A 14,659-nucleotide genomic window follows, 5' to 3' on the forward strand; every position below is an offset into this window, starting at 1 on the left:
GTTGGCAACCGAATACAATTTAAAAAAAAAAAAACGATAAAAAGGACTCACCTATCAGATTGGAGCAGTGAGTTTGATATATCAGACATATGTATAGTCTTGGCTGCTAGCAGTGCTAATAATAGTAGTAACCAATGTTATTCTCCTAATGTGCAATTTGTGCCCTGCTGAGAGGGAGAAGTATAATCATAGGCATATTCACTAAGGCAACCTATGTGCTTGAAAACATACATGGACAGTTTTTGTTCATATCCATAAAAGGAGATAATTCAACCAAATCTTTTAGATTTTTTTTATTATACTTTAAGTTCCAGGGTACAAGTGCACAACGTGCAGGTTTGTTACGTACGTATACATATGCCATGTTGGTGTGCTGTACCCATTAACTTGTCATTTACATTAGGTATATCTCTTAATGCTATCCCTCCCTCCTCCCCCCATCCCACAACATGCCCCGGTGTGTGATGTTCCCCTTCCTGTGTCCAAGTGTTCTCATTGTTCAATTCCTACCTATGAGTGAGAACATGCGGTGTTTGGTTTTTTGTCCCTGTGATAGTTTGCTGAGAATGATGGCTTCCAGCTTCATCCATGTCCCTACAAAGGACATGAACCCATCCTTTCTTATGGCTGCATAGTATTCCATGGTATGTATGTGCCACATTTTCTTAATCAGTCTATCATTGATGGACATTTGGGTTGGTTCCAAGTCTTTGCTATTGTGAATAGTGCCACAATAAACATACGTGTTCATGTGTCTTTATAGCAGCATGATTTATAATCCTTTGGGTATATAGCCAGTAATGGGATGGCTGGGTCAAATGGTATTTCTAGTTCTAGATCCTTGAGGAATCGCCACACTGTCTTCCACAATGGTTGAACCAGTTTAGACTTTTAATACCCAGAGTTAGCAATAGTAGCTCTTGGTATTTCAGTATATACTTTTATTCATTGAAATATTCGTGTTTTTGTTAGAATAATACCATTATTTGGTATTAATAATCTAAAACTTGAGGCATTTACATTTTAAGGCATACCTGGAATTAATTTTTTTTGTTTGTTTTTTGAAAAAGGGTTCCGCTCTATCACCCAGGCTGGAGTGCAGTGGCACAATCTCAGTTCATTGCAACCCCTGCCTCCAGGGCTCAAACAGAGGTTGATCCTCTCATATCAGCCTCCCATGTAGCCGGGATTACAGGTGTGCACCACTATGCCTGGCTAATTTTTGTATATATATATATTTTTGTGTGTGTCGGGGGGTAAAAACGGAGTTTTACCATGTTGTCCAGGCTGGTCTTAAACTTCTGGGCTCAAGCAGTCTGCTCACCTCAACCTCCTAAAGTGATGGGATTACAGGCATGAGCCACCGTGCCCAGCTGAAATTTTTTGAATCAAATAAAGTCTAGAAAGTGTTTTTCTGTATTGCCATAACCCTGATAAGAAGGAAAAAATATGACAATTATTGAAAACCTTTTGTAACAAAATGTATACAGTCACACTCTACTTCAAAGATTTTCTAAACAACTAGCATATGTGACTCCATTAAATTATACAAATAACACTGCATCAAAATCTCTACCTAAGATGATAAAACCATTGACAACAAGGTTAAACTGGAAAAGATTTTTTGTTTGGTGCTAAATTATATCTTGATATTGATAAAATGTTGGCAATAGTAGTACAAGTATTTCAGTATTAAGTAAAATACATAGTGACTATGATACTGTCATTTTGCTTTGTATTACAGTCACTGTGGGCACTAAGTCTGACTACAAGAATAAATGGGGCTGGGCGTGGTGGCTCATGCCTGTAATCCCAGCACTTTGGGAGGCCAGCCAGGTGGATGGATCACTTGAGGTCAGGAGTTAGAGATCAGCCTGGCCAACATGGTGAAACCCTGTCTCTACTAAAAATACAAAAATAAGCTAGGCATGGTGGTGCGTGCCTGTAATCCCAGCTACTCGGGAGGCTGAGGCATGAGAATTGCTTGAACCCAGAAAGCAGAGGTTGCAGTGAGCCAAGATCATGCCACTGCACTCCAGCCTGGGCAACAGAGCAAGACTTTGTCTCAAAAAAAAAAAAAAAAAAAAAAAAAAGAATGGGTACATAATTTACAAGTAAGGTTTAATAGGATACATTAGTAATATGATATTTTTCCTTATTTATCTTTTCTTTCTAGTGATCTTACATACACATATTTCTTCCTAAATAAACTGACAAACTTTCACCTAAATGGCTTATTGAAGATCAATACTCTAATTAGCTTTCCTAAACCTTACTAACATTTTTGCAAATTCTATTTCCCTAGACGTGTTTTCTCATGATCTTCTACCTGAATAATTGAAATACATCTAAAGTGTATTTTTGTATGAATGTGTCTTAATCTCCAGCAGTTGGTTTTCTTCTTGTAATTCACACAAAATTGTCATTTTTCCCCAAAATATTACTTGCTATTTTAGATGATGAGAACAATAGGTGATACCAAACAGTGCTAATATGCTTTGTAAAACTGAAATGAATACAATGAAGGATGCTACTAAAAAGATAGTATTCATTAGGGATAGAATGCCATTTCATTTGTGAGAGTAGAAAAAAAAAAAGGCTAAATCTTGACACAGACAGATTCCAGGCTTTCTAACTGCCATTTGGCTGCTCCATCGCAATGCTCCATACTATCACCTTTGTCTTTGAACTAGAGAGCTCACTCACAGCAGCTTTGCTTAGCTCATGGATGTGTGCTAGCACTTGCTGAAGGGGGACAGAATGTTTGATATTTTTGAATAGATTCCAGTGGTTGTGAATGCTCCATTCTGCTTTTATAGAGGTTATTAAATTTTGTAATATACTTTATGCATCTGCAGTATATTCATGATTTTGCTTAAAAACAATAGCATTGTTTACAGCTGAAGTAGAAAAACTGAGTTCAAAATAAAGAGCTCTTGTTATATAGAATATACAAAGGCAACTACTGCTGTGATTTTTTTTTCCCCTCAAACTTGAAAAACCCGAAGGGTTGCATCTGAATTTTTACAGCAAAGTGATACTGAGCAAAAACTAGGAAACTGCAACCATTTTACTCTATCAGTGCATGAAAGTTACATTAAGTCCAATAGAAGTGTTTAAATAAAAAGAGACAACCTAAATATGCCAGGCCAAATTATCTATTAGCACTGTATTCTTTATATATGCAAATGAAACCCATCTGAAACTATTTGATCTCAGCATTGCTAATAAACAGCCAATGGATCTAATTATTTAACATTTACAATGATATTGTAGGAATAAATTTTCTCATAATAATTTTTATAAACTGTATCCTTTGATCTAAGATCTTTAATGACACTGAAGTAATCATTTGTCATTGTTGGGCAGCCACAAAATATGCAGAGACTGAGCTAGACTGTGTGCAGCTCACCAAGAGTTTATGCCTACTGGGAGTACATGCATTTTGGTTTTGATATATGTGAATGATATATTACAGACACAAACTACTGTGTATTGATGATAGTGTTCTCAGGGAAAAGGTGGGCACCTGTATTACAAAGAGCAGAGATAAATGGTGGCTATTTTTATAGATATAAAGATCTTTCAATTTTCTCAAATGATATTAAAATACACTGCATGAAAATAGCCACTTTATGAATATTTAAAAAAATACTATATGTGTATCCAATCTACTCCTGAGGTGATATACAGGGAAAAATGTTCTGAGGATTTGAAATAAAAAATTATCTTCCTGGCTCTGCCAAATGCTTGATATATGACCTTGGACATGGCGAAGGGCAGTGACAATTACAACAGAAATACCCAGAGTGTTGCAGGTTATATTGTTGCTCTGAAAGGTCAAAGGTTGCTATATCTGGGTAAGTCAGGACAAAAGGAGGCAGCACATTCCACTTGCAGATGAGCATGGAATTGAGGGGAAACAAAATTCCTTGTTTTCTCTAGTTAGAATGGAGGCTTCTGCTTGAAAAGCCCTAACCCTGTATATAAAGTTTGGAAATTTGTTCTATCAGACTTAAAATAAGGGTTTGACCATGTAAATCTCTGAGGTCTCTCTGAGTTCTAAAACTTGATAACCGTCTTTTCCATTTAAATAAATTTCAGGGTTTTTTTTTGGCATTCTACTGTTTATTGGAGCAAACATCAAATGCCATTTTGAAATCTTCCTCTTTTTTGACCAGTCGTGGAGAGGCACTGATTTTTCTTCAGTATCTGTTCTGCAACTTGGTATAGTTATGTCTTAATTCTTTTGCCTGCAGAATGTTCTTATCTCATTTACTTGTATATGTTTTAAGTACTGGATTCTATAAGGTATGTCTGTTTATATTTCCAGGAGTGAATATTTTATTTTATTTTATTTTATTTTATTTTATTTTATTTTATTTTATTTTATTTTATTTTATTTTATTTATTGAGATGGAGTCTCTCCCTGTTGCCCAGGCTGTAGTGCAGTGGCACGATCTCGGCTCACTGCAAGCTCCACCTCCCAGGTTCAAGCGATTCTTCTGCCTCAGCCTCCCAAGTAGCTGGGATTACAAGAGCCTGCCACCACTCCCGGCTAATTTTTTGTATTTTTAGTAGAGACGAGGTTTTACCATGTTAGCCAGAATGGTTTCAATCTCCTGACCTCGTGATCTGCCTGCCTTGGCCTCCCAGAGTGCTGGGATTACAGGCGTGAGCCACCACACTCGGCCGTGAATATTTCATTTAAAATATAATTGTTTTAAATGATTTTTGTAATAGGACTGAAATGTATAAATTTTAATGTTACAAATATAAAATGAATATTTTTGACTGTGAAGAAGGGATGAATGACTGACAAGTTGGTATGTTAGGGTATTTTAAAAGTCATATATTTTAGATGAGTTAGGACTTTACAGAAGTGAAGAAGGTTATATGTTTCTTTTCATTGATAGAATACAACCGTTTAAAATTAATACTTTTGGGCCAGGTGCGGTGGCTCACGCCTGTAATCCCAGCACTTTGGGAGGCCGAGGCGGGTGGATCACGCAGTCCAGAGAGTGAGACCATCCTGGCCAACATGATGAAACCCCATCTCTACTAAAAATACAAAAAATTAGCCAGGTGTGGTGGCAGATGCCTATAATCCCAGCTAGGGAGGCTGAGGCAGGAGGATCACTTGAACCTGGAAGGCGGAGGTTGCAATGAGCCAAGATTGTGCCACTGCACTCCAGCCTGGCAACAGAGTGAGACTGTGTCTCAAAAAAAATAAAAAATAAAAAAATAAAAAAATAAAAAAATAATAAAATAATACTTTCAAGTTCATAGCTTAAGAAGATATGTTTAACTGGAATTAGAAACAATGTTGACAATGTTTTCTGAGATATATCAGGAACAGGGTCTTTTAAAATTATATACTCATTGAGTATTCATTCTGTGGAAAATAATGTGCAGGGAACTAGGGTAGGTAAGATGGGGTGATAGAAAACAGTCAAGGTTAAGATACTGGCTATGGTCAGTGTTTTGAGAGACAATTGAGAATGCTTTATCTCTTTTTTTGCTTATAACTTCTCTCTTCTTTTGTACTTTATAACTGTTTTATTTAGCAAACAGATTCTAGTGGGCATTTTAAAGATACAGTTTATGATACAAGATGTAACATCATAAGACTGACTTTAAAAATAAATGGACTTTTGAATAACTAGAAATTATTAATTACACACACCTAAGTGATATATAAGTAGACATACAGGAAATAGATGGCTTGCTTTGATGATTATTTTCTTTTACAAAACTTACTAATTAAAAGTAGAGTATTCTTAGATCGTTGATGACAAAGTATTAAAGAGGACATTTAATTTTTCTCTTATCCATGTGATATTTGGTGTCCTCTGCAAATCTGGGGTAGAGGGTGTCAGGTATAGATAGAGACTTTTTGATGGAGCATTCAGAAGCATGAACTGCTAATGGAAACTAAACTATGATTCAGAGAGCTTGAGCTTTAGACTTTTCCATTTATATGCCCTTTGATCTAAACTTTTCTGAACTTTTTTCTTTCATAAAAATGGAAATGTTAATTCTCACTTTGCATGTGTCACAACATTGCTGTATATAGATGAATACACAGTGAAATATACATATAAGATGCTATTTGATATTATACTTATATGATAGTGTATAATAGTGTACAATCTGTACAATCAGATGGTGTATTGAATATTCTCTAAAAACTTGTAAAATACTATGTTAAGAGTTATAATGAAGAAATAACTTGTATCTATTTCTCCAGGCATTTTTGACTTGTTAGAAAAATAAATTCATAGGCCAAGTGCGGTGGCTCATGCCTGTAATCCCAGCGCTTTGGGAGGCCGAGACAGGCGGATCACGAGGTCAGGATATTGAAACCATCCTGGCTAACACGGTGAAACCTCATCTCCACTAAAAATGCAAAAACACTAGGTGGGCATGGTGGTGGGCGCCTGTAGTCCCAGCTACTCGGGAGGCTGAGGCAGGAGAATGGCGTAAACCCAAGAGGCAGAGCTTGCAGCAAGCCAAGATCGCGCCACTGCACTCCAGCCTGGGTGACGGAGCGAGACTCCGTCTCAGGAAAAAAAAAAAAAAAAAAAAGAAAAAAAATAAGAGGTTAAAGGAATATTATCTTTTAGAATAGTAAACCATATATTTACTGAACATGGTAATCTGTAATTTTTAATTGTGTTCTGCTGGTAGAATACCAAGAGCTAGGCCTGGCTAATCTGCGTATACAGGTTGTTATAAACCAGATGTAGCTAGACCTAGGGATATGGCATGAGGAAGTCTAGACCATGAGGAAAGGGTAAAAATTTTATCCCTTCCATCCTTAGAGAAATGTGGGAAGAAGAAAAAAAAGTCAAGTAGAATGAGAAAAATCACACAGCAAAGTCTTCATCCCTCTGTCATGAAGCTTAATCTTGCACCAGGGCAAAGAATTGTAGAATCATTTAAACTTCCTTACTCTTGATATGGGAGCAACAAGAGATGGAAGAGGAGATGTCAACTATCCATTAAAAAATATTTTCTGAAGGAGGTTAAATATTAATACAAAGGGCCAGAGTCATATTGTCTCCACTACCTCCTCATCTTATCTTCATCTAACAGGGTAAAGACTTATGAGAAAGATAAATTTGTAACAGAAAAAAGAAATCTAAAGTAATATGAGAAAATGTGTTTCTCTTCTACAAATGTATTTGTTTCATTATTATACCATTTCATGATGTGTTATCTTGTCAGATGTTCCTTTGTTTTTAATATACTTTAAGTTCTGGTGTCACGTGCAGAACATGCAGGTTTGTTACATAGGTATACACGTGTCATGGTGGTTTGATGCACCCATCAACCCATCATCTACATTAGGTATTTCTCCTAATGCTATCCCTCCCCAAGCCCCCCACCCCCTCACAGGCCCTGGTGTGTGATGTTTCCCCTCCCTGTGTCCATGTGTTCTCATTGTTCAACTCCCACTTCTGAGTGAGAACACGCAGTGTTTGGTTTTCTGTTCTTGTGTTAATTTGCTGACAATGATGGTTTCCAGCTTCATCCATGTCCCTGCAAAGGACATGAACTCATCCTTTTTTATGGCTGCATAGTATTCCATGGTGTATATGTGCCACATTTTCTTGATCCAGTCTATCATTGATGGGCATTTGGATTGGTTACAAGTCTTTGCTATGGTGAACAGTGCCACAATAAGCATACTTGTGTATGTTTCTTTATAGTAGAATGATTTATAATCCTTTGTGTATATACCCAGTAATGGGATTGCTGGGTCAAATTGTATTTCTAGTTCTAGATCCTTGAGGAATTGCCACACTGTCTTCCACAATGGTTGAACTAATTTACGCTCCCACCAACATTGTAAAAGCGTTCCTATTTCTCCACATCCTCCCCAGCGTCTGTTTTCTGACTTTTTAATGCTCACCATTCTAACTGGTATGTGATGGTATCTCATTGTGGTTTTGATTTGCATTTTTCTAATGACCAGTGATGATGAGCTTTTTTTCATATGTTTGTTGGCTGCATAAATGTCTTCTTTGGAGAAGTTTGTTCATATCCTTTGCCTACTTTTTGATGGGGTTGTTTGTTTTTTCCTTGTAAAATTAAGTTCTTTGTAGATTCTGGATATTAGCCCTTTGTCAGATGGATAGATTGCAAAAATTTTCTCCCACTCTGCAGGTAGCCTGTTCACTCTGATGATAGTTGCTTTTGCTGTGCAGAAGCTCTTTAGTTTAATTAGATCCCATTTGTTAATTTTGTCTTTTGTTGCCATTGTTTTTGGTGTTTTAGTCATGAAGTCTTTGCCCATGCCTACGTCCTGAATGGTATTGCCTAGGTTTTCTTCTAGGGTTTGTATGGTTTTAGGGTTTACATTTAAGTCTTTAATCCATCTTGAGTTAATTTTTGTATAAGGTGTAACGAAGGGATCCAGTTTCAGCTTTCTGCGTATGGCTAGCCAATTTTCCCAACAGCATTTATTAAATAAGGAATCCTTTCCCCATTTCTTGTTTTTGTCAGGTTTGTCAAAGATCAGATGGTTGTAGGTGTGTGGTGTTATTTCTGAGGCCTCTGTTCTGTTTCATTGGTCTATATATCTGTTTTGGTACCAGTACTGTGCTCTTTTTGTTACTGTAGCCTTGTAGTATAGTTTGAAATCAGGTGGCATGATGCCTCCAGTTTTGTTCTTTTTGCTTAGGATTGTCTTGGCTATGTGCGTTCTTTTTTAGTTTCATATGAAATTTAAAGTTGTTTTTTCCAATTCTGTGAAGGAAGTCAATGGTAGCTTTATGGAGATAGCATTGAATGTATAAATTACTTGGGGCAGTATGGTCATTTTCACGATATTGATTCTTTGTATCCATGAGCATGGAATGTTTTTCTATTTGTTTGTTTCCTCTCTTATTTCCTTGAGCAGTGGTTTGTTGTTCTCCTTGAAAAGGTCCTTCACATCCCTTCTAAGTTGTATTCCTAAGTATTTTATTCTCTTTGTAGCAATTGTGAATGGGAGTTCACTCATGATTTGGATCTCTTTTTGTCTGTTATTGATGTATAGGAACGCTTGTGACTTTTGCACACTAATTTTGTATCCTGAGACTTTGCTGAAGTTGCTTATCAGCTTAAGGAGGTTTTGGGATGAGACGATGGGGTTTTCTACATATATAATCATGTCATCTGGAAATAGAGACAATTTGACTTTCTCTTTTCCTAATTGAATACCCTTTATTTTCTCTTGCCTGATTGCCCTGGCCAGAACTTCCAATACTATGTTGAATAGGAGTGGTGAGAGTGGGCATACTTTTCTTGTGCCGGTTTTCAAAGGGAATGCTTCCAGTTTTGCCTTTTCAGTATGATATTGGCTGTGGGTTTGTCATAAATAGCTCTTATTATTTTGAGATACATTCCTTCAATACCTAGTTTATTGAGTGTTTTTAGCATGAAAGGCTGTTGAATTTTGTTGAAGGCCTTTTCTGTATCTATTGAGATAATTATGTGGTTTTTGTCATTGGTTTTGTTTACGTCATGGATTACATGTATTGATTTGCATATGTTGATCCAGCCTTGCATCCTAGGGCTGAAGCCAACTTGATTGTGGTGGATAAGCTTTTTGATGTGCTACTGGATTCAGTTTGCCAGTATTTTATTGAGGATTTTTGCATCAATGTTTATCAGGGATATTGGCCTGAAATTTTCTTTTGTGTGTGTGTGTCTCTGCCAGGTTTTGGTATCAGGATGATTCTGGCCTCATAAAATGAGTTAGGGAGGATTCCCTTTTTTTCAATTGTTTGAAATAGTTTCAGAAGGAATGGTGCCAGCTCCTCTTTGTACCTCTGGTAGAATTCGGCTGTGAATCCATCTGGTCCTGGACTTTTTTTGTTTGGTAGGCTATTAATTACTGCCTCTATTTCAGAACTTGTTATTGGTCTATTCAGGGATTGGACGTCTTCCTGGTTTAGTCTTGGGGGGGTGTATGTGTCCAGGAATTTATCCATTTATTCTAGATTTTCTAGTTTATTTGCATAGAGGTGTTTATAGTATTCTCTGATGATAGTTTGTATTTCTGTGGGATTGGTGGTGATATCCCCTTTATCATTTTTTATTGCATCTATTTAATTCTTCTCTCTTTTCTTCTTTATTAGTCTGGCTAGCAGTCTATCTATTTTGTTGATCTTTCCAAAAAACCACCTCCTGGATTCACTGATTTTCTTTGAAGGGTTTTCTGTTGCTCTATCTCCTTCAGTTCTACTCTGATCTTAGTTCCTTCTTGTCTTCTGCTAGCTTTTGAATTTGTTTGCTCTTGCTTCTCTAGTTCTTTAAATTGTGATGTTAGGGTATTGAGTTTAGCTCTTTCCTGCTTTCTTTGTGAGCATTTAGTGCTATAAATTTCCCTCTGAACACTGCTTTAAATGTGTCCCAGAGATTCAGGTACATTGTATCTTTGTTCTCAGTGGTTTCAAAGAACATCTTTATTTCTGCCTTAATTTCGTTATTTACCCAGTAGTCATTCAGCAGCAGGTTGTTCAGTCTCCATGTAGTTGTGCAGTTTTGAGTGAGTTTGTCACATGTTACTTTTAATAAATATTAATCTAGTGCTTATTATGTGGTAGGTATGGTTCTAAGTGCTTTCAAATGCTAATTCATTTAATCCTCATGATAACCCTATGTGTCCTTTTTTTTCCAAGTGAGAAAATAGAGACACAAAGTCAGCTCAGTAAAAGTCATTCCAATTCAGAAAATCAGGCCTCAGAATACATATTTCCTACAAACCATTATGTTTGTTATGGTCTTAAACTCACAACCCTGAGTTTGAGGTGCTAGGAAATGCATAATATTTGCCCCAAAGGGCAGGCATTAAAGTTCACCTACTAAAAGCTAAAAGAGAGAATCTTAAATGTTCTCATCACAAAGAAATAGTACATATTTGAGGTGGATATGCTAATTACTCTGATTTGGTCATTTCATAATGCATACACATATTAAAATGTCACTTTGTACCCCATAAATACATAACTATTATCAATTAAAAATAAAAGTAAAAAGAAAACATATTACTTACTGCATGTACATTTTTCTTAGAATGTATGTGACTTTTAAGCTATTGTAAATTTTCATTTGGTGATGTTACCAAGTTTTGCTTTGATTTTAATTGTTTACCTAGAAGCTATCATGAGACATAAAATATATTTTCTTGTATTCCATAAATTAACATGGAATGACAACAAAAGGCTATTTCTCCAGAGTTAGAAACTTCCATTTGAAGAAAGATACATGTTTGAAAACACAAATGTGTCAAAGTTCCCATATTGCCTTAACCCTGTAATCATTTATACATAAGAATATTTTAAACATTGTGAACATAATTTTTATCAGGTTATATAAAAAATAATATCCAATACAAAAGAGTTTAAAGTGTTTTAAGCTTACAAAGTTGGTGCCTGGTTGCTCATCCAGAAGAAAGCAATATTCACAAATATGAAAAATTTAAGAACATTTTGACAATGATATAATTCTCTGTATCTGCTTTTGTCAGAATCGACTGAATTGTCTGTGCAGGGAGAAGTCTGACTCCATAAGCTGTATCTTTTCCTGTCAAAGAAGTGTGGTTCATCAAACTTGGTGGATAAATGGATAACAAATTACTGAGATGGTCAAATCTTAGATAAGAAACATTTCTTCTCTATAATGCTGACATTCTCTATATAACCCCAGTTGTAACAACACAGTCATAAAAAAGAGTTATAATATTTGAAATCACTTGTGTTAAAATTTCATGTCTTTGCACTTTATTTTGAAGTATGATCAAAATAATATTATACCAATATGTAATACTTATTATTAAATATACAAAGATATATTCATCTGAGACATGGTATTCATTATTTTCTTGTTAAACAGTAATTTCTTCTTTTCAGCCAGCTTCTTTTTAGCTTTTGTGAATTAAAAGGCATTTACTTGGTTGCTAATCCCTAATAACAATAATTATACCTTAGGCTAACAGTAGGTGGGTAGACTTGAGAATGTAATTTTTTCCCTTATGTTTCCAAGTATCAAAATAAAGGTTTAATAGTCACTTTAAATAGACTTAAAATGACAAAATATGGTCTGATATTTAATCTCTTTATGTATACGATTATAATAGAAAGACTCAGTGAGTCTAGAGTATGAGGACATTTTTGCAGAAGGTGGATATTTCTTTACAAAGGAGTAATAGGCAGATGGCCCTAGGTTTAAATGAGACTAAATTCTAAGACAGATGACACAGTGGACAGAGAGATGCACTTCACTGAGAGCAAGTGCTGTAGGATAACATGATTGCTGGATTTCACATCCCTTCTGACTGAGGACACAACAGAGGCTCTACAAACTCATTAATGAAATCACTGTGTCAGAGTAACTGTGCAGCTACCTCCCAGCAGTGTCTTGCAGACCCACTGCTTATATACATATCATTTGTAAGGATAAGCTGTAAAATGGAATCTGCTCTTTGAAGTTCATTCTTTTTTTTCCTGTTTTTATTTTTTATTTTAATTAATTAATTAATTAATTAATTTGAGACAGAGTCTCACCCTGTCACCCAGGCTGGAGTGCAATGGTGAGATCTTGGCTCACTGCAACCTTTGCTTCCCAGGTTCAAACAATTCTCCTGCCTCAGCTTCCTGAGTAGCTGGGATCACAGGCTCCTGCCACCATGTCCAGCTAATTTTTTTTGTATGTTTAGTAGAGATGGGGTTTCACCATGTTGGCCAGGCTGGGCTCGAACTCCTGACCTCGTGATCTGCCCACCTCGGCCTCCCAAAGTGCTGGGATTACAGGCATGAGCCACCGCGGCCGACCTTTAATTTATTTTTTTTAGATGAAGTCTTGCTGTGTCACCCAGGCTGGAGTGCAGTGGCATGATCTGGGCTCAGTGCAACGTCCACCTCTCAGGTTCAAGTGATTCTCTTGCTTCCACCTCCCGAGTAAGCTGGGACTACAGGCTTGTGCTACCACACCTGGCTAATTTTTGTATTTTTAGTAGAGATGGGGTTTCACCATGTTGGCTAGGATGGTCTCAAACTCCTGCCCTTAACATTTTTTCCTTCATTTCAACTTTGGTGAATCTGACAATTATGTGTCTTGGAGTTGCTCTTCTCGAGGAGTATCTTTTTGGCGTTCTCTGTATTTCCTTGCTAGATTGGGGATGTTCTCCTGGATAACATCCTGCAGAGTGTTTTCCAACTTGGTTCCATTCTCCCCGTCACTTTCAGGTATACCAATCAGACGTACATTTGGTCTTTTCACATAGTCCCATATTTCTTGGAGGCTTTGTTCGTTTCTTTTTATTCTTTTTTCTCTAAACTTCCCTTCTCACTTCATTTCATTCATTTCATCAAACTCCTGACCTCAGGTGATCCACTTGCCTCGGCCTCCCAAAGTGCTGGGATTACAGGCGTAAGCCACCACACCTGGCATTTTCTCTTGTTTTCTAAAATATTTGACTTACATGAGAATTCAGAGTATGCTTTTTCATACATAAGGCATTGCATAAGATTTGCAGGGACTCTGATGAGGACAAGACACTGGCCTTACTCACCTTCAATATATTGATGTCAGGAGGAAGAATAAGACAAGTAACCATAGCACTAGGCATTCAACAGATATTTCCTGAGCTCTGTGATTTGCTTGGTAGCATTCAACAGATATGCTTCATTCATTCAACAGGTATTTGCTGAGGTCTGTGATTTGCTTGCATCGTTTATTCAACAGATATTTCCTGAGCTCTGTGATTTGCTTGGTATCATTCCAGTGGCTGAGAATTCAGTGGCATTACAAGATGATGTCCTCGTTTGCAGCTCAAGTTTTGTAGAGGCTGTGAGTCTGGGTCTTAATAAAGAGAAAGGGCTAGGATGAGTCAAGGGGCAGAGAGCCTAGAGCTGGCTGGGAGGCTCAGGGACTATTTGGTGGATGGAGGATCATTTGAGTTAAACCAAGGGAATGGGGGAATGTGTTCTTCAAAAGACCATTAGAACCAACTCAGAAGAGTCACCTCACTTGGTCCCTAATGGTCTTTTGAAGAACACATCTATCGGGGAGAGATAAGGATACACGATAGGGGAAAATGTGCAATAGCCCTAGATGGGTATGTTGGGATCATGATCATGCTGTCGAATTCCAGACTGAAGAATTCAGGAGACAATGAGCCTCTATTGAAGAATTTTAAACAGTCACAAAAGAACAACACTCCAGGAAACTTAGTACAGAAATAGTCAAGATGGATTAAAATGAAGACATCGAGGGCAGGACAGTCAAATAAAGGATTATTGCAATATTGGAGGCCAGTGGTCCTCCAGCCTGAACTTGTGGAGGCAGAGTGAACAGAAATAAAGATAAAAAGGTAAAGACTCCAGAACGTGTTAGATGGTGTGGGGGTCTTGAATTCTTTGAATTGCTTCTTAATGTCCCTATTATGGGTCGTATTTTTGCCCCTTGTATATTAAATCAGTGTTCTAAATTTTTTTGTAACTCTGCAGATATCTGTAGCACATCTGTCTCCTGCTCTTTATCACAGTCACTACCCGTAGAGTTATCCTCGTGCATAAATAAATCATTCCTTGCAGACTCGTGCTGCGTGTTTGCTCTGTTTTGGAAACAGATTATACATTATGGTTTCTACTACTTAAAGAACTAA

This window comes from Homo sapiens, chromosome 2 (assembly GCF_000001405.40).
Source record: "Homo sapiens chromosome 2, GRCh38.p14 Primary Assembly".
In the NCBI taxonomy this organism is placed as follows: Eukaryota; Metazoa; Chordata; class Mammalia; order Primates; family Hominidae; genus Homo; species Homo sapiens.